Source organism: Homo sapiens, chromosome X, assembly GCF_000001405.40.
Source record: "Homo sapiens chromosome X, GRCh38.p14 Primary Assembly".
Classification (NCBI taxonomy): domain Eukaryota; kingdom Metazoa; phylum Chordata; class Mammalia; order Primates; family Hominidae; genus Homo; species Homo sapiens.
This window is the reverse complement of record NC_000023.11, coordinates 69,203,874-69,227,834: the sequence shown is the minus strand read 5'-3', so window position 1 is coordinate 69,227,834 and position 23,961 is coordinate 69,203,874. Positions and strand designations below refer to the sequence as shown.

The following is a 23,961-nucleotide window of genomic DNA, read 5'->3' as shown; positions in this document are numbered from 1 at the left end:
TAAGTATGTATGAAAGGTCTTTTTTTTCAGAAATGAGTCAATTTAAAGAGAAACAGCAGCTGAATAATGAAACAGGGGTGAGACTATGGCAAAAATCATGCTGATGGGATGTGAACAACTAACATTTGGGAGCACTGTGCTCCTCTCACGTTCTTGGACCAACCCAGCCACAGGGCAGCCCTGGGAGGGCTTCTGGGAGCTTTGTGTGGAGGGGATCTACACATGTGGTAGAGGTGGGGCAGCCTGGGGGAGGAGGACTTGTGGACTCAAGTGGACCTGGCTTGCTATCTCAGCCCAACCTCTTTCTAGAAAGCTCATTTCCTGCTTAAAGACCAAATGTAATCTCTAAGAGGGGCTAGACTTTACTCACTTCCGTATTCCCAGCACCTAGCAGAGGGCCTGACACATAGTAAGTGCTCAATAAATATTCATGGAGTGAATATATGAGTTTTGACTTCCTCATTCCTCAGGTACAGTGAGAAGAGTAATTCCTACTGAAAAAGTTGTGAGGATTAATTGAAGTGAAATATCTCAAAGCATGCTTCATTGGGCCAAGCAGATAGTCAGTCCTCAATCAGTGGGAGGTGTTATTATTGTTGCAGCGATTGTGAGGAAAGAGTATGAGTTGAGCCTCAGACAAGGCAAAGCTCATAAGGAGTTCTTGGTAAGGCCTTAACACCTTGGCTTGCAGTGGAGCCTACGGCCTTGCTAGGCCCGTACACACACTCCTGTCCTCATTCACACTGAAGGGGACCAGAAGCACTCATCTGCTTGCGCCTCCTGCTGAAGATGGGGCCTGGATTTCCTCTCCAAGAGCTCCGTCCTCAGAGTCTGGTCCAGGCACCAGAGCCAAGCTGGCCCAGGCCTGAGGTTTCCCAGGCACCTGAGGGTCATCCCTGTGGCCCCCTCCCCTGCCAGGTCCTCCAGCGGGGTTTGAGTTCCTCCACCACATGGCCTGCTGGGTAGGCCTGGCATTGGTGCAGAGCAAAGGGCAATGGATCTCAGGCTCCACTGAGGGAGACCCTGGAGGAAGGAGCGGGGGGAGGAGTGAAAGGGCCCCCACACCCGGGGGGGCCAACGCCAGCAGACCTGCCTCAGAGGTCGGAAAACCCCCTGCAGCCTCAGGAGCACAAGAGGGGTCTGTTTCTGTGGCTAATGCAACAGGTCCTTCTTGGGGTGTGAGGTCTGGTTGTTTCAGGGCATGCAGAACCTGAGAGGGGCCAGCTCCCACAGAGAAAGGGGCTGTGTGCAACTGTTTACAGGTACCTCTCATTACAGACACAGGCAGGGACCTAGAATGTTAGAGCTGGTCCAGTGGTTCCCAAACCTGGCTGCATCTGAACCACCCCAGGGGCATGTTAAAGATACAGACTTACAGGCCCAGAATCCCCAGGAGGAGGGGTAGTTCTGGAGTAGTTGCGATTCTGCCAAATTTGTAAATTACTGCTACAGTTCACTCTTTCTAAAAAAGATTGAGATATAATTCACATACTATAAAATTCACCCTTTTAAAGTGTACAATTCCAGGATTTTAGTATGTGCAAGCATTATTACTATCTAATTCCAGAGCATTTCATCACCCTAAAAAGAAACCCCATATCCATTAGCAGTCACTCTCCATCCCCCTTTTCCCCCAACCCATATCAACCACTGATCTGTTTTCTGTCTCAATGGATTTGCCTATTCTGGACACTTCATATAAATGGAATAATAAAATACGTGCCCTTTTGTATCTGGCTTCTTTCAGTTAGCATAGTGTTTTCAAGGTTCATCCATGTTATAGCCTAGATCAGTACTTCATTCCTTTTTAATGCTGAGTGGTATTCCATTGTATGGATATACAGCATTTTGTCTATTCATTAACCAGTTGCTGGCCTTTTGGGTCATTTCCACCTTTTGAGTATTATGAACAATGCTGCTGTGAACCTTCATGTACAAGTTTTAGCATGAACTTGTGCTTTCATTTCTCTTGGGTATATACCTAGAAGTGAAATTGCTGGGCCGTGTTGTCATTCTATGTTTAATATTTTGAGGAAATGACAGATTATTTTCCACAGTGGCTGTATCATTTTTATATTTCCACCAGCAATGCAGGAGGGTTCCCATTTCTCTACATCCTTACACACACTTGTTATTTTCTGAGTTAAAAAAAATTTATCCTAGCCGTGGTAGTGGGTGTGATGTGGTACCTCATTGTGGTTTTGATTTGCATTTCCTTAATGACTATGATGTTGAGCATCTTCTCGTGTGCTAATGGAAATTTGCATATCTTCTTTGGAGAAATTATTTGTCCAAATTTCTCTTGTGCATTTAAAAAAATTTGGGTTGTCTTTTTATTCTTGGGTTGTAAGAGTCCTTTATACATTCTGAACACTAAACCCTTATTAGATATATGATTGGCAAATATTTTCACCCATTCTGTGGATTATTTGTTCACTTTTCTTGATCTATAGCTCACTTTCAACCCCCTTTTTGCAGATGAAGAAACTGAGGCTCAGAGAAAAAAGTGGCTTGCATGAAGTCATGTTTAGTGAGAGTCAGTGGCAGAAAGCTCTTTCTACTTAGCCATACTGGGGGTATAGGGAAGTGGGCTGTGAGGGTGGAGCAAATCAGCAGCATGGATAAGTCAAACCAGGGCCTAGCCCACCAACTATTTCTCTTTGCTTTTTGTATGCACGATCCCATTTTGGTAGATGGCTTCTCTTGATCATTAAGTCCTACTCAAGCCCCTCCTAACATTACATTACTTTCCTGATAGTCCATCAACAGTTGGTTAGAGAAAGTAGCCCAGAATTAAACCCCTCCTGGGGATAATCTACATGAGGATGATGAAAAAATCATGCCAGTGTGCATCCACAAGTTATTCTGTGGTGCATGATGATCCATGGAGGGCTGAGAAAGGAACTGGAGTACTGGAACCCTTGCCTCGGTTCAGTGACAATGAGGAGCCCCATGTACCAAACCACCCTTTTGGGGTGTGAATATGTCTTTGTGTTCAGGATTACATCTTTCACATTTCAACCTCAAAGCAAGAGAAAGCTTTTCCTTTTTGGCTTCTTCATGTCAAACATCAGCCAAGCTAATGTTAAACCCATGATGAAAATTAGCCAAAATTTACACACGAATATATATATATATATATACACATCCTGGCTTGGACAGCAGGCAAGGACAATTAGGCAATTTTAGAAATGATCCCTTTGCTTACACCTCAATTAAGAGAGTTCACTCCGATTTTAGGTAATTCCCAACATTTGAGCAAATTCTTAAGTTTCTTTGTTGTTGCTTGTATGATAACTTACTTAGAGAGCTTGAGAAGGTGGCAGGTCTTGTGGTGTGTTCATATATACATTGAAAGTGAATTCAGTTATGCTTTAAATTTATCTGAAAATTTCATGGCATTCAATTGCTCCTCCTACAAGTGTTGATTGAGGAGTTCGTGGGTGCAATGCCTTATGCTGGATGCCAGGACCACCTTAATTTACCTTTTTAGGCCTTAGTTTCTCCCTTTGTAAAATGTAGGGATGGGTTAAATCAGGGTTTGTTAAATTTTATTTTTTGGTGGCATATTTTCTCTAGGTAAAATCTTATTTGGAACTCTAATAAAAATGACAGACTGAATAGAGCTGTTTTGGGATGGGGGGCCTCCCCTTAAATACCCCACACCCACACCTAGGTGTCCCAGGGCCTCTGATTTTTTTCAGAGCAGAGCTAGAGGGGCTGAAGACCAGCAGGGCCCTACCCTTGATGCTGCAGATCCATGTTGCTGGGCCTGCTCTCAGCTCTTTTTCGCTGCTACCTCCTGCTGGATTGGGGAAAAGTCTGGGTTGGAGCCTGCTTAGAGGTGACGCTTCATCAGAGAGCTGAGCATCTTCTGCTTCCTCCTCCCCCACCGAGCCTCCTCCTCTCTCCTACTCTCTCCATCAGTCCAGTATTTCTGGAGGCCTAAGCAGATTTCAGACAAAAGAAGCTCTAGGCCCAGTCCACCTCCTCTGTCTCCCCAAGCCAGAGGGAGCTTGGAGCCCTTTTGCCCTCTCCTACGCAGAGGGAGACTCCACCAGAGAAGGCCAGGAGCTTCGGGAGGATGTAGGCTGGGTACTCCAGACTTCTGGGGCCGACTGTTGGTTCCCTCTCTCCTCATTGCCTGTGAAGGAGCACAAGGAATTTCACCCCAAAATATGGCTCCCTGGTATAAGGAGTATTTTGAATTAAAGTTCTCTAGACATCAACAGGCACTGGATGTTTCCCCCCCCACTACAACGTGGGGTACGTTGTCCCCACGGACAGACCCTCCAAGGGGAACAATTTTTTTTCCTTCCCTGTTATCTTATTATCTATTGCAGAAAAGAAAACCAAAAATGTTTGGTTTCTTTTCACAGAATAACGTGTCTCTCAGGGTCGTTTAAATTCCAAAGAGAACTGTTTACACGTTAATCTGTGTTCCCCAATTCAGTCATTCTCATTGGTAATCATTTATTGCCCCTCAGCAGAATTCCTCTTCTCCCCCTTCCCATAACCTGTTTGCCACGATCCAAGTCCCCATTCTTTGTGTAACCTCAAGATGGTATCTAAGCTTCTGCCCCCCACTGCGGGCGTGGGTAATCACTCCGTGATTCTCCCTGTGCACATGTTAATACATTTGTATGCCTTTTCTCTGATTAATCTGCCTTCTGTGAGTTGATTTTTCAGCGAAACTTCCAAGGGTGAAGTTGAAATTTTGCCTTGGTCCCTACACTTGCTTCGGCCAGAGCAGGTTCAAAAGGGGCTCCAGAAGGGAACTGGATATGGAGGGGACTTTAACTGGAGACAGAGGTCACCTGCCTCATTTTGCTCACTCTGAGGCTTGAAGAGAAATGCCCACAGCCTGTAGCATACGGCTGAACAGGCAGGGTTGGGGGTAGGAAGCAGGAAGAGGCTAGAAGCAGGGGGTAGGAACTAAAGAAAGAAAGCAGGCATGGGGGAGGGGTGGTCCTATTTTCCTGGTATTCAGAGGGGCTGGTCAGCAGCTGATGGGTCTCCAGGCAGTGGTGTACGGATGGGGCCAGAGCCTATTCTCAGGGTCCAGGTGGCCAACTGACTTGGAGGACTGCCTGGCCCTCATACCCACACCCCCCTTCACCCCACAAAAAGGGAACTCCCGAGCTAGTGCCCATTTCCCCAGCCCACCAGGAGGAGGGGGTGGCTGGGGAATATTCTACCATTTTCCAGATGGAGAAAAGTGAGGCCCAGGGAGGTGAAAAGCCTAGAGCAAGAGCCATCGCCAGCCCCATGGACTGAGCCTCAGGGCAGGGGTGGTGAGGGTGGTCAAGGGATGAGAGGGGTGGGGTGGGGTGTGAGGTTGAGCTGAGCCGGCTGGGACTCTAACCACCAGCTCTTTATTTAGCTTGGGGTCTGAAGCAGCTAAACGAATGTAAATGAAATTCCACAAGTGAAAAGGGTTTCTCTGGTGAGACTCCTCCGTTACCAGCCCAGAAGCTAGGTATGCGAGGACCCACCCCAGGGAACATTGGCATAGAGCCCAGGCAGCCACTGGGTGGCGCTGTCTCTCCATCCAAGTGTTTAGGCGGGTTTCAGATGCCAGGGCAAAGAAGTCACCCCCATTCATGCCCCATCCTGCCAGGCCCTTAACAAAGGCGCCTGGGTTAGGGCAGGGAAAACCAGTTTTGACAAAACTCCATGTGTCCCCTGGCACGTGGGTGGGAAATGGAGGGTCCAGACTGGCAGGGCTCAGGAAACCCAGAGGAAGGGACAGGCAGTTGATTGGGGCCCCTGGGGGCCGCCCTGTTTCTCAACCACTCTTGGAGCTGAGAAGCTCCAGGTGTTTTGAGCCTAGAGATGAGGGAGAACAATTCTCCCCATTTCATCGGCGAACACACTGAGGCCCGGAGTTAAAGGACCCAAAGATAAGCTTTTGAGCAGCCTAGGAAGCACCCCTTCCCAAAACTTACGTTTCAAAGTGAGCCCCTTTTTGGCTGGGCCACAGCGGCGACGCGGAGAAGGGGGCTTTAGAAATGCTAATACCATGCGTGAGTGACAGTGCGAGGACAATGGAGGAGGGCGCTGTGAATGGGGCCGCCGAGGCCTGGGAGCCGGGCTCCCCACGTGGGAGCCAGGTGGGGGAGGGGCGGGAGGGGAGAAGCCGGTCCCAGCCTAGAAGCTCCGAGCCTGGGCTAATTGGAAGGGGCTGCAGCTCTGGGGGCAGGATGGGGGTGGGGATTACCTGCGGGTCGGCCGCGGAGGGGCGGGGCTCCGAGGAGGTAGGGGGCCCTGCCGGCACGGGGAGGGGGCGCCGGAAGAGCCTTGGACCTGCTGACCTGGAGACCGGGAGAAAAAAAAGCGGGGAAGCTGAGGGGTCTGGATAAGCCCCGACTTAAGGAAGGCAACAGCAGGTGACTTGGAATAGTGTGGAGGGGGCCCGAGAACCCGTTCCCTCATTCGTTCATTCTGCATCAAAAGGTGGTTAAGAGGCTGCTCTCCAGTCACACTGCTGGAAGTCTTTTCGGGCTCCCTGGCTTATTCACCATGTGCTCTCCAGCATCAGTCACATTGGAATAAGAGCACCTGCCTCACGAGACACTTGGGACAGCGCAGGTAAAGTGCTTAAGAAAGTGCCTAACAAAGCGCTCAGTAATGGTGAGGGTTTGTTTGTTTGTTTTTGTTTTTGTTTTTTTGAGACAGAGTCTTGATCTGTCACCCAGGCTGGAGTGCAGTGGCGCGATCTCAGCTCACTGCAACCTCCGCCTCCCGGGTTCAGGCGATTCTCCTGCCTCAGCCTCCCAAGTAACTGGGATTACAGGTGCCTGCCACCACGCCCGGTTAATTTTTGTATTTTTAGTAGAGACAGGGTTTCACCATGTTGGCCAACCTGGTCTTGAACCCCTGACCTCAAGCGATACACCTGCCTTGGCCCCCCAAAGTGCTGGGATTACAATTGTGAGCCACCGCACCCGGCCAGTGGTGAGCTCTTTTCTTTCTTTTTCTTTTTTCTTTTTCTTTCTTTTTTTTTTTTTTTTTTTTTGAAATGGAGTCTCGCTCTGTCGCCCAGGCTGGAGTGCAGTGGAGCGATCTTGGCTCACTGCAAGCTCCACTTCCCGGGGTTCACACCATTCTCCTGCCTCAGCCTCCCGAGTAGCTGGGACTACAGGTGCCTGCCACCTCGCCCGGCTAATTTTTTGTATTTTTAGTGGAGACGGGGTTTCACCATGTTAGCCAGGATGGTCTCGATCTCCTGACCTTGTGATCCACCTGCCTCGGCCTCCCAAAGTGCTGGGATTACAGGCGTGAGTCACCGCGCCCGACTAGTGGTGAGCTCTTATTATGAATTTGATAAATAGTGATTCATGCCAACTGTTAGCCCTGGGCTTGGCTTGCTCATCTGTGGTTCAGAGGTTGGTGTCCTACCCTGTGAGGCCGGCTATGCTGAGGGAAAGAAGAAGGGACTCCACCTGGACACCAGGCTCTGGTCTGTGGAAAAATCAGAGGCCTGATGTGTGGGCCGCAGAGCCTGGGGGCCTGTGTGGGAGGGTCCCTGGGATGGCGCTGGCCCTTGGGGTCTAGGGAAGTAGGGCTCCCTTTGGGACTCCTGGAAAGATGCAGCAGCCCCAGGAGTGGTTGTGTAGTGAGGGGCATCCCAGTCAGCTCCTGGGGGCCCACTGTCAAACTCAAGCTCCTCTAGTAGAGTCAGTCAGAAGGCGAGAGAAGAGGTCCCAACCAAACTCTACAACAGTCACCTCCAACTCCAACTGTACCAGGCAACCCATTTGGGGAATGAGAGAAAAATATCACAATATATGTTTTATTTATTTTTACCTCACCTTTTAACAGTTTTGACGTTCAGCATGTCATTTGTGATATACCTAATCAATTAGTAAAGTAATGCATGTATAATAATAGCAACACATGTACACTTACTGTGTCCCAGACACCACATGCATTAACTCACAAGATCCTCACAACACCTTATGGCCGTAAGTAGTATTACCAGCTCCACTTTCCATAGCATGTGGAAAGAGATGGAATCACCTGCCCAAGCAAAAAGCCAGCATGCAAACTCACACAGGCCAGGCCCAAAGTCTGTGTTCTTAATCACTATTGTGTATAAACAAATTTCTGTGAATATGTTGAGTTGGTGTGCTCAAAATGCTTTAGTGATAAGAGTTCATGATTTTAAAAGTTTGATGACCGTTGCCCTGTCACCAAACTCCAGGACAGCAGCTCCAGAAGGATCCTTAAAGATGTTCATGGTGTGGACAGAAACACTAAAGCACAGCGAAGGACAGGACTTTGTCCTAGATCACACAGCAAGTACATGACAACACCGGGCCACTAATCTGGATGTTCTGCCTCCCATAATAAAAATTAACAAGTGCTCGGTTGCTCCTACATTCCCTGTCTCCCACCCTCCCCTCCCCCACACTTCCCCTCCCCGACACTTCCCCAGAATTCTCTTCCTGCTTCTCCTGTCTTCCTAACCCCCAAATGCAGGCAGAGCAGCTGCTTCTGGCTTGCAAGGATGGCTTTCCGGACTTTGGCCAGGATCCTCCTAGTAACCCCTTGGCCCAAGCCCGGGACGGCCACTGTCCTGTGGGAAAGGAGGCCAGGAGGGCAGGCCTTGAACAACTGGCATGAAGGTGGGCAATGGCCATGGACAGAGGCAGCTGAGGAAGCAGGGGGCTCTAAACCTCCAGGATCTCCATCCTGGAGATCGTTCAGAAGTGGAGAGAGAGATGCATAGAGAATAGATAGACATAGAGCAAAGAGATGCATAAATAGACCTATAGTTACTTAGATATAGAGGCATTTAGATATATAGATAGATATAGAGATACAGAGCTATGGAAATTTATAAATGCATAGATAGATAGTTACATAGTCATAGAGATTACAACATAGATACATGCAAATTCTTCAGATTAGAAACATAGAAACATTCTTATGTAAAAGCCTTGTTAGAAAGCTTGGCTATGTAAAGTAACGCAGGATTCTCTCCTTTGGGCTGGAAAGATGTGTCACCCAGTACACAGGGAATCACAGAATCAGCTCCTCTCTTAGGCTCTGAAGCTGTCTAGTCTCATTTCCATGCAATCCTGGGCCCTCCCACTCCACCACCAGGAGGTCAGCCAGCCTCTCTTGCCTCTCTTACTCCATCCCTCTGTGAAAAGCCCTGATGACTATCAAGTCCTTCCCTGGATTGAGCTGAGTACTACCTCTGTGTGGCTGCCACCTGTGGATCACAGCTCTGTACCCTGGGGCCACCAGACCCTAGTCTGCCCTCTCTACCCAGTGGCAGCTCTTTAGATGTATGAGGTCAGAGACCATCTCCCCCAGAGCCTTCTCTTGGCTTTTCCCACCTGGGCGCCTCTGGGGCCCCACTGAAAGCCTCTCTTTGCTCAAAGGCACAACTGAGGAGAAGCCTGGTGGCCCAGGCCAGGCATGTTCCAAGGCCTTGACCAATGCAACTGGCACAGCTGCCCTTGGGGGCCACTCCTTCACTTTTGAAGCAACATATAGGGTTAGGGGTCAGCTATGTTCCTCAGAAACCTCAATGCCACTGGGCTGGAGACAAAGGAGAATGAAGTCCAGGAAACAGTTCTCCGTCTCCAACTTTGTCCCTGCCTCTGGTTTGATGTCTCTGGCCCTTTTTCTATTTATCTATCTCCCTTTCTCTGTCATTGCTCTTGCGCTGCCCCCCACCCCACACTTTTATTTTCTCCTTGTCTCTTTCCTCCTCTCTTTCCCTCCACCCCAAAGCCATGTCTTGAATTTGCTCTTGGCCTTTTTGTTTGTCTTTAACTTCAAGAACTTGCATAGGTATTCTGTTGAGGGGAGCTGACCAGAGGACAACATCCCATGGGGCTGTAGCAATTGCAACAAAAAACACAGAGAAGGACATGGGGATAGAATAGTCCCACCCTCCTTTCAAAGGCCCTATTACAGCATCCGTCATGGTTGTCCATCCAGCCTCTACTTCCAAACCTCTGGGGACGGGGGTATCGATAGGCCCTGACTCAGCCATCCCCTTGCAGAACAGCTCAAACTGACAGGAGGTCTTTTCTGGAAGTGGACTAAAATCACTATTTCTGTGGCTTCCACCCACAGGTCTTAATTGTGGTCCTTGGGATCATCCAGGTCACTCCAGCTCCCTCTGCCCTTTGGCAGTCCTTCAGAGGTCTCCCCGAAGAATTAAGGTCCTTTTCTGCCTGCATTCTCTCAATGTGGGCTCTCAGGAGAGAATGAGAGGCCCTCCAACCCATTGTAGTTGTGCTGCATCCTGGGAGAGGGCATCCCTATCCTAAACCAAATTGGGGAGGGAGTTGGCAGGAGCATCAGAAATATTCCAGGGAAGGGCTACTGGTCAGAAATGATGTCCCACCAGGTCATGTCCCACCTCACCTCAGTCTGAGATAAGGTGGGGGAATGGAAACTGGCCCAGCCTGAGGACATAGGGACAGTAGGCAGGCAGCTGGAAAGAAGGCCAGGGCAGGAGGCAGGCTGGCCCGTCCCTGCCTGAGACCCAAAGCCCTTGACAGGAGACCTCAGGTGCCCAGGGAACTGGGCAGCCAAGAGCCAGAGAGCAGAGAGGCCTGCTCTGGGGGCACATTCAGGACTGGATGCCCTGTAAGAAGAGAGGCACAGAGCATTGAGTCAGCTCCTTCAGCCCAGCGCCCGGGAGTAGCAAGAGTGCTTTTCAGCCACATACTTCCTAGCGAGCAGGCACGAAGTCTTGAGATCCTGCCAGCCTGGGCTCTTCAGCTTGCACCAAACTAGGAAGGGGCCCAGCCTAGCCTGGCCAGACCAGTTCTGTATCTACCCCTCAACTTCCATCAGAGCGGCACACTTGCAACTCCCAGCAGATTCCACCCAGGCACTGGCCTCAGGTGCTTCCAAACTCCTTGGGGTGGCAGGGGTCTCTCTATGCTTCAAGCCCTCAAGGGGAGATTTCTGGTCTCCCTGGAATGATTCCCAGAAGCCAACCAGGATCCTTCATGCTGCAGCTGTTGCTCTGGCCCTACCCCCAGTGGATTTTGCTGTTTGTTGCACATTTAGTGAGTGCCTTACTTCTCTGTGCCAGGCCCTGTGCTAAGCTTTTTGCATACATATCAGAGATGAAAGAGTTAACACCATGTGCCCACCAGAAGTCCTGCCCCCTCTCTGGCATCCCTCTATACTTCTCAGGCAGCAGAAATCATATTCCCTAAGGCAGCACTTGGCAGAAAGGAGCCTGCTCTGCCCAGCTGACCACATGTGCCTTTGCTTTCCCTCCCCTCTTGGTTCCTCAAGCAAGTGTCAGGAAACAGGATCCAAGGAGAAAACAGGCACCTGTTCCTGAAGTTCCCGACAGGACCCCTCTTCCCTGCCCCAGCCTCTGGGCCTCCTGGTGCCCCTAGGGCCTGATAGGAAAGAAAGGCCTCAAAGGCATTGGGAACCTCCTCCTAGTTTCTATCTGGCCTGCCACATTTGGTCAACCCTGTCAAAGAGAGGCAATGCAGTAGAATACAGCAGTTAATAGCACAGACACCAGAACCAGACAGCCCAGGCTGGGCCACATAATAGATTCGCAAGTCTCAGTTTTTCCCATCTATAAAATGGGCATCATAATTGTATCTACTTCATTGGGTTGTTTTGAGGGTTGAGTTAATATATGTAAAATATTCAGAATAGCATCTGAGGTGTAGTAAATAAACAAATAATTGTTAAATAAATTCAACTCCTGTCCCCTAGGATCTCCCCAACTTCTACCCTCCGAGTTGCCCCAGTTTTTGCTCTATCTCATTAATCTCCCTGGACAAGTATAGGAACTCTGCCCTTGCTTCCTACCCTGGCCCCCTCTATCACTGTCCCTTAGTCCCCTGAGGCTAGACCCTAGCCCAGGTGCTCAGCTACCCTCTGGAGATGCTGAAAGGCCTGCATGGGAATGGGTCTTCCTCTACCTGCAGCTCAGTGGGGGCTTCCCCTGGGAGGCCTCTTGCCTCTGTCTCCCCAGAGTGGGGCAGCTGCTCTGCCTCTTTAAGGCCCTAACTAGGTCATCGCCTAGCTGAACACCCCCTCACATTCCCCTCACACTAAACAATCTGATCTGATCGCTGGTGATGAGGTCAATTTCACATGGCTTTGTTCCTGCAGTGAGCTTGTCACGACCAATCATTTCCGAGCGAGGAGCCCATAATCCCGCGCTGGCTCTCTCACCCCCAGAGGCCATGGCCCCTTTCTTGCTCACCAGTATGAGGTCCCCAAGGGCCGGCTCAGCACGAGTTTCCTCATGGCCTCTGTGTGCCCTCCCACTCTTCCTGGCTTGAGTAGGAGAGAGTCTGGGTTGGGGTCAATGATGGGACTGCCAAGAGGGGGCATAGTGGGTGCCAGGTAATCCGGGGAGAAGCCAGTCTCCAGGGATGGAGGTGGGTGGCTGAGGCAAGAGAACAGTAGTGGCGTCCGTTCCTGGGCCCTTGATCCACGCAGCTTGGGGAATGAGTCCTTACTCTGGGGTGACCCAGGATGGAACCTCTGTCCTGGGGACAGGGAGCAAGGGTCAGGGGCTTGTAAGAGATGCTGAACATAGACACCCCCCACCAATGCCCCTTGAGTGGCCCTTGCATAGAATAGTGGAAGCTAGTCAGGGGCACATGGGCTCACATGCCAGGTACCTGCGGGCTGCCGTGTGGTCACGACGAGAGGCAAAGGCACACTTCTAGGAGTGAAGACGAGGATTTCATTTCTGGTGCTACTGTTAAGTAGCTGTGTGCTCTTGGCCAAGTCCCTTTTTCCTGAGCCTGAGATTCTCCAGATGTACCGTAAGAGTGCTGCACCGAGAGCAAGCCATTGCTTCCTTTTGGTTTGAAGTATTCTTGAGGCTTTGTGGCAGAAGAGTTGGGATGTGGAGAGGAAAGGCATGGGATGGATATTTTGCTCCCTCTCTGTTTCCCCAGAGGGGCTTGGACCCCACAGAGTGAGTGTCAGTTACGTTTGTTTTTGGTGGGAATAAAAAACATCATGCCAGAGGAGGTGAGCTTTTCTTCCTGCTTCTGCATCCTTCTTGCATGACAGGACTCATCCCATCTGCCTGAGCCACGAGGAATGGACAGCGAGAACAAGGGAGAGCGTGTGCCTGACAGGGCCCTGCCTAGGGGTGCTGGCTTCTCAGTGGGGAACTGGGTGGGGAAGGGAGCACCAGGGCAGCGGGGGCAGCTTGCTGGGCATCTAGGCCACAGGTGAATCCTGCCGCTAAGAGGGAAGAGGGAAGGGAGTGTGCCAGACCCTAGACAGGGAGCTTTTGCTATCTCATCCCATCTCATTTAGCCCTCACATTGCCATAGTGACAATGGGCTGTCCCTGCATTTTACAGATGAAGACATGAAGGCTGGTCTCAGGAGTGAGGGAGGAGAATCAGGTGGGCTGAACAGGGCTCCAGGCCGGGTTTAGAACATAGCAGTGGCAAGAAACTCCTCTTCAGAGAGCTGATGTCGGGGAAAGCAGGACCTAGCCCAGGACCCAGTCACAGTGTCATGGAAAGCATGTAAGCTTTGGAATCACACAGAACTGGCTCCTAGTCCTAGTCTGCCACTTTGCTGTGTGACTTTGGGCAGGCCACTTGCCTGTCTGAGACTAAATTTCCTCCTCAGTTCAGTGGAGGTAAATGAGCTTGACTTCACAGGGCAGTCAGGAGGATTCAGTGAGATGATGGATGCACATATAATAGATGCCAAGTAAGCGTTCTTTGTTCTCTCTTTTTCCTTTTTTCTTGAGGCAGGGCCTCACTCTGTCACCCAGACTGGAGTGCAGTGGTGCCATCACGGCTCACTGTAACCTCTGCTGCTCAGGTGGTCCTCCCACCTAAGCCTCCCGAGTAGCTGGGACTACAGGCACACACCACCACGCCCACTAATTTGTGTATTTTTGGTAGAGACGGGATTTCACCATGTTGTCTGGGCTGGTCTGAACTCCTGACCTTAAGTGATCCACCCACTTCAGTCTCCCAAAGTGCTGAGACTACAGATGTGAGCCACCGTGCCCAGTGTAAGTATTCTTTCTTTACCTCTAAATAAATCACAGACCCAATCTCTTCCCCACACCTCCACTGCAGCCATCCTTGTCCAGGTCACTCTCACCTCTGGCCTGGATCAGCAGCCTTTTCTCAGCTTCCCTGCTTCTAGGATTGTCCCTTCCCAACTGTTAGTCACACAAAAGCTGAATGATTTGTGACAGTCCTAAGTCAGTCATGTTACTCCCCTCCTCACAACCCTCCCAAGGCTTCCGATGTCACTCAGAGGAAAATGTGAAGTCCTTACCCATGGCCTACAAGGCTCTCCAGAGTGGCCCCTGCTGATACCGCTGGCCTCATCTGGTATCACTTTCCCCTTACTCACTCTGTTCCAATTACACTCATCTCTTGTGTGCCCCTGAACCTACAAGCTGGTTCCTGCCTCAGAGCCTTTGCATTGCTGTTCCCTCTGTCTGGAACACACTTGCTCCACTTCTCATGGCCAGGTCCTTCATGTCATACAGATTTGAGCTCAGATGTCAATTCCTTACAGGATCTTTCCTTTCTAAAAGTTTCTTGGTTCCAAGTCCTCATCATTTGAGAATTCTTCCTGTTGTCTTACCTGCATCTATGCTGTAGTCATTTATCCTCACTCCCGTGACCTCTGTCGTCATAAGATGTCCCTTTAAGAACTCATCACTCGGCCAAGTGTGCTGGCTCACACCTGTAATTCCTGCACTTCGGGAGGCCGAGGTGGGTGGATCACCTGAGGGCAGGAGTTCAAGACCAGCCTGGCCAACATGGTGAAACCCTGTCTCTACTAAAAATACAAAAAATTAGCCAGGCATGGTAGCAGGCGCCTGTAATCCCAGCTACTCTGGAGGCTGAGGCAGGAGAATCACTTGAACCTGGGAGGCAGAGGTTGCAGTGAGCGGAGATCACACCACTGCACTCCAGCCTGGGTGACAGAGTGAGAACCTGTCACAAAAAACAAACAACAACAAAAAAAGAACTCATTACTCAACTTCGAGGCCCTCAACACTTAGGAATCTACTTGGGCTCTACTGGATAAGGCCCCCAGATACATTGTGAGCTCCCTGGAGGGCCTGGTGGGGAAGGGAAATGGTGGTTTGTTTCGGTCCTGACTAGTGTTCACATGCTATCATTTGCTTCTTGAAACAGCCATGTAAGGTAGGGATTCCTATGCCATTGTACAATGAAGAAACTGAGAGTCAGAACAGGTGACTTGGCCAAGATCACATAGCTGGTTGCATGGTGGTCTTCTGATTCCAGGGCCAGTTTTCTGTCCACCACATTAAAACAGACCCCTTGCCACTTACACAGCAGAAGTATTTCCAGGGGTCCCACAATAACCTTCTTTGAGTGCTTGCTGAATGCCTTTAAAGTCACATCTTAGCTTTAAGAGGCTCCACCCTCCCTCAACCCCTCGCTTCCATTTCTTCCACTGAAAGGAGCCCCCAGCTATGCTGGCCCATTTCTGCTTGGCCTTGGGGGAAGAGATTCCACCTGCCTCACTGTCCCCCATACTGACCACCCTGATCCTACTGCCCAAAATACCCCAGGGCATCTCCTCTGAGCTAGGCGCTCCAGGCTAGCCACAGGGGACCACAGAGAGCATAGACCCACAGTACACCCTGATACCAGGAGAGGGTGACACACTAAGCCCCTGGGAGTGCAGATCTTGGAGATCGTTGCCTTTGCAGAGTAGGTCAGTATTTGGACTGGGACCTGTATGATGAGTAGGGACCTATTACATGGAGATGGAGCAGAGGCTGAGGGACCAGCACAGGCAAAGGCCTGGAGGTGGGAAGAACAGAGTAAGCAACTGAGTGTGGCAGGAGCTCAGGGTTCGTGAAGAGGACAACCAGAGCTGAGGAAGGAGAGGATAATTAGGGTCAGGCCTCCTCTCAGCACCCCAGCCACCTTGGGCTGCTGCCAGCCAGCCATCCTGCCCAGTTCCCCCATGGACAAAGTGGGCAGGCGGGCCTGCTGGGCCACTGTGTGTCAAGTCATGACAGCTAAACTTATGAGAGCCAGGACCCAGGGGCTGCTGGCTGTAAGGCTTTGGGGGATTTGGACCTGCACATTTTGACAGACAAAAGATCCTACTGTGGTGGGAAGGGCCAGCACCTGAGGATCAGCTTGAGTCTTGGCACTTGGACCAGGAAGAAGTGGAGGCGCAACCCTTGTCGAAAGTAGACAGCTCTCACCCTTAGCAAGAGACAACTCCCACTGTTAAGGCCCACCGCAGCCATCAGGTGTGGTGAGAAAGCAGCGTCTGCACTTGGGGAGAAGCAAGTGGCATAAGAGGAAGGTGAGTCCAGTGAGGGTAGGCCAGATGAACCAGGAGCCAAACTCCTTACTAACCGTCCTCTCTGCCCATGGTGGACCAGAGAGAGGAAAGGGACCCTAGGATTCAGAATGTCTTGAGCACCTACCGTAGACCAGGGTGGGAGCTTTACATATACATTCTCACATAATTCTCATGACAGCACTATGGTCTAGGGGTTGTTCTCCCCATTGTACAGAAGGAAAAACAAGGTACAGAATGAGCAAGAGTCCTGCCTGAGGCCACTCAGCAAGTCAATGGGGGCAGTAAGGCTTCAGTTCAGGCTTGGGGCTCCCTGCCTAGTGCTCTTCTTCCCACAGCCCCTGGCATGGGAGTCCTCAAATCTCCCAACATCCTTCAAGACGCCAGCTTGTCTAGCCCTGTATTTGTACAGACAGGGGCAGAAGTTTGGCCAGGAACATACAGCTGGCTGAGAAGAAGAGGCCCCAAGGTCCCCTAACCAGCCTGTGGCAGCTGGGGGGAGATGGTGAGTCGTGGAGCAGGGAGGGAGGGTGGGCTTGCTCACCTGAAACATTTCAATTACATTCTCATAAAGTATAAATGTATGACTATAAAGAAAGACTTGCTCACACATGCTTTTGGCAGCCTCTGTGCAAAAAGAAGCTCAGAAGATCTAATTGCTTATGTAATCTCTGTTGAATTTGGTCTATCGGGAAATATCTCTTGGAAGTGTTTATCACATCCCATGTTATAAATAGCCAAGCTCGACTCTCCTCCATGCCTTCCTGAGGCTGCCTGGGAGCTGGGCTGGCAGACATCAGGAGGGAGGAGCCAGGCCCTATGGGGAAGAAGGGGCACCTGCCCTGGCAGGGCAGCTCTTGGAGGCAAGCAGGGAGGGCACTGGCCTTCAGTGTGCACAGAATCACAGCCAGCTACTGTTTTGCCCAACCCCCACCTCATCCCGAGGAGGGGGGTCTTGGCATTTCCATGCCGCCCTGGCATCCCTTCATTTAAAAGCAGCAGCCCTCCTCTTGCCTGTGAACATCTAGCTTAAAGAAGAAATGCGACAACAAGGGAAAGCTGGAAAATGAGAAAGTATCCTTAGAAATTATACCAATATTATCATCCCCATTTTGCTGATGGGGAGACTGAGGCTCAGGGAGGCAGCAGGCACCAGTATGTGGTGGTGCTAGAACCAGGTCTGTCTGACCCCACATCTTGGCTTTTTGCAGGATGACCAAGGGCCACCCTGCTGGCGACGCAGGGTTCTGCTCATTTTCCCCTGGGAAGGACGTAAAGTGGCAACTTGGCAGGATGTGGCCTTTTCACATACACACCACCCCCCTTCACTTCTGCAGTCTCAGTGATCTCTGGCCACACCAGGCCTGATCTGCTCAATTGTCACAGCCCAGGGAGCCCTGTCTCTTCCCTCTGCCAAGCCCCCTCCTCTATCACTCTTGAGATCCCAGCTCCAGCCTCTTCCAGGAAGCCTTGCCTAAGATTTATGGCCATCAGTTGCCTGGCCCACCTTGGTCGTGGTCCAGGCCCCTCACCTGCCTGTGGACCTCCCTCATTACCTATCTCGGTTTCCTGTGGCTTCTGTAACAATGACCACAAACTTGGTGGCTGAAGAAAACAAAAATGTATTCTCTCACGGATCTGGAGGCTAGACGTCTAAAGCCAGTATCACTGGGCCAAAATCAAGGTGTTGATGGGGCCATGCTCCTTCCAGAGGCTCTAAGGGAGAATCTGGTCCTTGTCTTTTCCAGCTTCTGTGGCTGCCAGCATTCCTTGGCTTGTAGCCACTTCACTCCAATCTCTGCCTCTATGGTCACGTGGTCTTTTCTTTTCTTTTTCCATCTGTTTCAAGTCTCCTCTGCCTCCCTCTTATGTGATTGCATTTAGAAACCCTTAACTTGATCACATCTGCCAAGATCATTTTTCCAAATCAGGTAACTTTTACAGGTTCCAGGGATTAGGACCTGATATCTTTGGGGGATATTATTCAGCCTGCTATATTTTCTTAAGGGCCTCCCTGGTCTTCCTTTTTGTGAGACTAGAAACTTCCAGAGCGCACAGGCAGTAGATGATGTCTCTGAATGTTCTCTGCATTATCCCCTATGTCACTTGGAGCCTCCAACAATCTTCAGGAAAGGTTGGCTGACTGAGTGACTGGCATCTTGCCCCCTCTCCCATCGGTCAACCATCAACTTCTAGATGTACTTGGTGTTTCCTTCAGGCTCCTGGGGCCACATGGCAGCATAGAGGAGGCTGATTTCTGACCTCCAGGCATCTGTCAAGGTCTCCGGATGAATTTGCAGACAAATGCCTTGTGGCACATGTGCGGACGTGGCTGTTCACTGATCAAATATGGAGCCTGGGTCCAACTGTGGGCAGGAGGAGCACATCTCATTGGCTTTCAGAGTCTGTTTTCAAAAACATTCCCATTCCTGACAGACTAGAAGGAGGGGCTGAAGCTTACAAAGTAAATACGACAGGGAGAAATGTTAGGTCTTGCTCTTGGATCCAGTCCTCAAATGTAGGCTGGCAAGGGGGAACCAGGTGAGAGGGCAAGGAGCAGAGGTGAGGAGGTGACTGTCATATGCATGGTCTGACCAAATACATCCATGGAACCTTCAGCTGCATCTGTAGGCAGTATAGAAGTAAAGTTTCAAGAACAAGGAGGTGACAGACTGCCCTGGAATATGGTGTCAGCTCTGTGTGCCACATATTAAGGGTACCAGAGTCACACTGGAGCATGACCAGGGAGGCAAAAGCATGCTGTGGAGAAAGCGGGGGCCCTGGTCTCATGAAGAACAGTTGAAGGAAGTGGAGTTGTTTTGCTTGGAGAAGACTCAGGGGTTATGGCTATGGTGATGCTTCAGACCTCTAAGAAGCTGTTGGAGGGCAGAGGGAGAAGACAGAGCTTAGGTGGCCCCCAGAGGCAGCACTGTGACCAATGGATGGAAGCCACAAAGAGACAGAGTTCAGCCCAAAAGTTGGAGAAAGCAACTTTTGGGCCGGGCACTGTGGCTTACGCCTGTAATCCCAGCACTTTGAGAGGCTGAGGCAGGTGGATCACCTGAGGTCAGGAGTTTGAGACCAGCCTGACCAACGTGGTGAAACCCCGTCTCTACTGAAAATACAAAAATTAGCCTGGTGTGGTGGCATGCCTCTGTAGTCTCAGCTACTTGGGAGGCTGAGACAGGAGAATTGCTTGAACCCAGGAGGCGGAGGTTGTAGTGAGCCGAGATTGTGCCACTGCACTCAAGCCTGGGCAACAGAGTGAGACTCCATCTCAAAAAGAAAAAAAAAAAAAAAAGGAAGCAACTTCTTAGAGTTAGGCCTGTCCTGAAATGATCTCTGTCCTGAGAGGGAATGAGCTCCCTGCTTCGGGAAGTGGGAAAGGAGAGGCTGGGCAAGCATTTGGCTGAAACATGGTATACGGGACTTGAACATCTGAATGGGGATTTGACCAGAGCAGGCAGCTCTCTGGAAGCTTGGGATGGCCTTCTGCCCATAGAGCCTCTCACTTCTTCTTGATGCCTCCTCTGGGAGGCCTTTCCTTACTCTCCCTGCTGGTCCCCTCACCCCACCCTCCACAGACATAATTCTCCCTCATCAGAAGACCGAAAGCACTGACCACATTGTATCCAAGAAAATTCTTTAGGCTTTGTCTCCTGCATGAGACTGAAGTCCTCTAGAACAGAGAGAGGACTTCTTCAGCTGTGGATCCACTCTTTACCTTTCCCCACACAGTGCCTGGTGTCTGGGCCACAGGAGCCACCAGAGAAGAAAGAGAAGAGTGCTAAGGCACAGTGGGCAGGGAGAGGGCTCACTCGCCAGCCAGGAGTCTTTAGAAACTGCACACTGACATAGATTCAGATACAGTGGAAGTGCATCCTAGATGAAGGTGGGATGAGTGAAGGTGACCTCTCAGAGTTCTTTCAGGCCTCAGAATGCGCTCATGAATGCCAGCCCAGGTTCCTGGCCTTTCCTTTTCTTCTTTGCATCATTCTGAGAGAGTCCTCCCAGCCCAGTCTTCTGTTCCCAAGGGGCTTTTCCTCCCTACTGGCCCCTCTGGCTCACTCCAAGCTCCCTCCAGATGGGCCCCATCGTCCTTGAAATCCCCAGCTGGACCCACCAGCTGGACCTTCTCAGGAGTGAGGCCCAAGGAAGGTCCAGAGCCCACCCAGCAGGCTAGAGGGAGAACGGCTGCCTTTGGGGTAAGAGGGGTGTGGGGTGAGGTTCCCCCATGAGCAATCTGTGTTGGAAATGGATAAGCTCAGTATAGGAATGGAGGTGGGGGTGGCTTTTTTGGTCACCAAAAAACATGCCAGGCCCAAGGTGGTCATTCTCTTCTGCAGCTCTGTTGATTAGCTCCATGCCCACTTAAACAGTTCATGCATGCGATGGTCCACATGCATGCCCTGAAGCCTGAGGGTCTGTTTTGGGGGTCTGACCTTTGGCAGGCCCTGCCCCTCCCTCACCCTGGCCCTCACTCAGGCATCCCTTCAAAAATGTTAGCAGTGCCTGTTTATGTAGTGAATGACACTGGACTAGACAGAACCCAGCATCACTATCTGTCCTTACGTGTAGATATTATTGGTTTGCTTACTTGTTCACTGACTGCTCCCTAGACTGGAAGCTTCCTGGAGGCAGGGATCTCTGTTTCGCTCATCACTGTACTCCTAGTGCCCAACTCAGTGCCCCACACAAAATAAGCATTCAATCAATATTTGCTAAATCAGTAGATGAATAGTAAAAGCTACGAATAGCCATTTCTAAAATGTCACATCCCCCTATGGTTTTACCTACAATTCTAGGGGAATCTCCGACCCCAGAAACCTGTCTCTCAGATACCCAACAGATCCATGGTCCCGTTAGGAGACCCAGGAAAGACCCAAGAGAGTAGCACATGTTTATCGTCTTATGCACTGTGTGAAAACAGGTTGTTATGGGCCTAGTCAGGAAAAGGAATGGGCATAATCAGGGAGCCAGAAGGTGTGAGGATGTCTCTAGGCTTGGCTGGGACACAGCAGCCCTGGACCACAGAGCTGCCAGAAGCAACAGGCTCTCTCTGCTGAGGCTGAGGGCTTACCTCATGGTAAGAAGCCAGTGAGAACACAGGGGCTTCTTGCTGGCTTGCTGTCCTGCCCCCAGTGCATAAAATGGGTCCTTTGGTTGAGACCTCAGCATCTTGGGCTTTGGGCCAGTGACATTCAGTGGCCCTGAGTCTGCAACCTTGGAGGATTCCTGAGCATACAGAGATGAGGAATAGCTCCTGGGTCATGGGCCATCCCTTGGTGAATCCAGGCCAGGGCCTTCCTCTACCCTCTGCGTGCCCTCACACCCACCCCAACAGCTCTCAGTCCTCACCAGCTTCAACAGGGATCCAGGTCCTTGCCCTGCCTGTTTACCAGGCCTGTGGTGGGCAGGTAAGTGCTTCGGATATGTTAAAGAGCTGTGCCCAGAGAGTGATTTTTGCTATCACTTCAGGTGCTGTGTTGCAGTCCTCTCTCTGTGGGGGGACAGACATCCTCTGGGGTCTGCCACACCACAGGGAGGCTGTTTGCAAGAATGGAAAAAAATGGGGGTTGGGAGTCAGCCTGGTCTGAGTTCAAACCCTATCTCTGCCACTTCCAAGCTGTGTAACTTTGGGAAAGTCACTTGATTTATCTGAGCCTCAGTTTTCTCATCTGTAGAATAGGGATGAAAATACATACCCTTCAGGGCTGATGCAAGGATTCAAGGAGATAATGCATGTGGAGCACTTCCACAGGGTCTGCCACTTACTGGATTTTCAATAGACAGTAGCTCTCTTTGGTAGTTAATATTGGCAAGGGCTGCTATAGAAAGTGTGGTCCCTGGACCAGCAGTGTCAGTACTACCTGGGAGCTCGTTAGAAGTGCAGGGTCTCTAGCCCCACCCTAGATCTGCTGAATCAGAACCTGCATTTTAATGAGATCCCCAGGTGAGTCCTAGGCATGAGAAAATTGGAGAAGAGGAGGCTAGTTCACAGCCTTTAGGCTGGCAATCATATATGAGGAATATCGACTTCTGGAAGCCTATCTAGGAAATAGCTTCATACATCCTTAAGTTAAAACGGTAGTAGTAGTGAGTGCAGTAGTAGGGTTGGGAGCAGTAGTAATAGTGGTAATAAATACTGAACATTTACTATGTACCAGACACTATTTGGGGTGCATCACAGCAACCCCATGAATCAGTACTGTAATTGCTGATATTTTACCAGTAGGAAAGCAAGGCACAGAAAGGTTAAGTCACTGTGAAAGTTGGGCTTAGTGACAGAACCACTGCACAAATCCAGAGCACCTGTCTCCAGAGCTCACTCACTGAGGGCAGGCACAGAAGAAACTACATTTCAGGGGCTGGGCGCAGTGGCTCACGCCTGGAATCCCAGCACTTTGGGAGGCTGAGGCAGGTAGATTGCTTGAGGCCAGGAGTTCAAGACCAGCCTGGGCAACATGGTAAAACCCTGTCTACTAAAAATACAAAGTTACCTGGCTGTGGTGGTGTGTGCCTGTAGTCCCGAAAAGTGGGAGGCTGAGGTGGGAGGATCACTTGAGCTCGGGAGGTCAACGATGCAATGAGCCAAGATGGCACCACTCCACTCCACTCGGGGTAATAGAGCAAGACCCTGTCTCAAAAAAGGAAGGAAGCAAGGAAGGAAGGAAGGAAGGGGAGAAAGAGAGAGAGGGTAAGAGAAAGAAAGAAGAAAGAAAGAGAGAGAAAGAAAAAGACAAAGAAAGAAAGAAAGAAAGAAAGAAAGAAAGAAAGAAAGAAAGAAAGAAAGAAAAGAAAGAAAGAAAAAAGAAAGAGAGAAAAAGAAACTGTGTTTCAGGAGCAACATGGTCAATTCCACACCACGGGCACCCACTGAATTGCTTCCCCATGTCTGCCTGGCCCAGGCCTGGGAGATACGGAGATAGAGGAGACACAGGCTCTGCTCAGTGCCAGAGACAAGCATGTGAGTAAATGATGAAAGGGGGCAACCTGCACCCACTGATGTGCCTACATGGGGAAACGAAATACTGTGGGGGCACAGAGGAGTGAAGCCATGTATCTTGCTTGTGGGTACCTGGGAGAAGCAGCTTCCCAGCAGGCCGGATTCTTCCCAGTTACAGCTTCCTTTATAAATCTCCAGGCTCTTAGGCATGATTAAAGTGCCTTCCGGATCAGACAGTGAGTCTAGGATTCTAGGGAGAAAAATTTTGACAAGGTGTGGGGAGGTAGTGGTGGTTAGGAGATGAGAATTTGAGCCCAGTTTTCGGTTTTAATTCTCTGTGTGGCCTTGGATGATCAGGCCCCAAATTCCTCCATGTCTGTAGGGAAGAGAAGTAGAAGCTATGGCTGGAATTGTAAGGCCAAAGTGAGGAACCAAGGGTTTGCTGCACCTAACTCATTGCCTGGTCCAGAGCTACTGCTCCATAGTGACTTGTTGAACGCATATTGAGGGAGCAGTCACAGGAAAAGGGGCCCAGGGTGAGCAGATCCCAGCCTCTTTATGCCGTTATTCCTGAATCAGCCCTCCATTTTGAACACAGTCCAGTTGGCCTCCTCTCTGCCTCCAGGTCTGCTCTTGACCTCGAGCTGGAGTTCATTCTGCTTCTCTCCATTAGGGCAATGAGTCTCTGCTGCCTGGTGAGAAACGCAA

The 23,961-nt window shown here is 50.5% G+C and overlaps 1 long non-coding RNA gene across 1 annotated transcript in view, besides 2 other annotated features; it reads right to left on the bottom strand.

Moving 5' to 3' along the window:
* Positions 4,708-5,479: an enhancer, noted in NCBI's record as "H3K4me1 hESC enhancer chrX:68442199-68442970 (GRCh37/hg19 assembly coordinates)". NCBI's record gives its function as "activates a minimal SCP1, AML or CMV promoter by ChIP-STARR-seq in primed H9 embryonic stem cells {active_cell/tissue: H9 hESC(primed)}" and the evidence as "EXISTENCE:reporter gene assay evidence [ECO:0000049][PMID:30033119]".
* Positions 10,122-10,621: an enhancer, noted in NCBI's record as "H3K4me1 hESC enhancer chrX:68437057-68437556 (GRCh37/hg19 assembly coordinates)". NCBI's record gives its function as "activates a minimal SCP1, AML or CMV promoter by ChIP-STARR-seq in naive H9 embryonic stem cells {active_cell/tissue: H9 hESC(naive)}" and the evidence as "EXISTENCE:reporter gene assay evidence [ECO:0000049][PMID:30033119]".
* The window catches only part of LINC00269 (long intergenic non-protein coding RNA 269), a 30,368-nt gene continuing 24,317 nt past the window's right edge, over positions 17,911-23,961 (bottom strand). The window contains exons 3-5 of the long non-coding RNA NR_103715.1: positions 23,386-23,503; positions 22,808-22,944; positions 17,911-19,583 (exon numbers count right to left, since the gene is read on the bottom strand). This is a non-coding gene — a long non-coding RNA (long intergenic non-protein coding RNA 269). The remainder of the gene's footprint in view (positions 19,584-22,807; positions 22,945-23,385; positions 23,504-23,961) is intronic.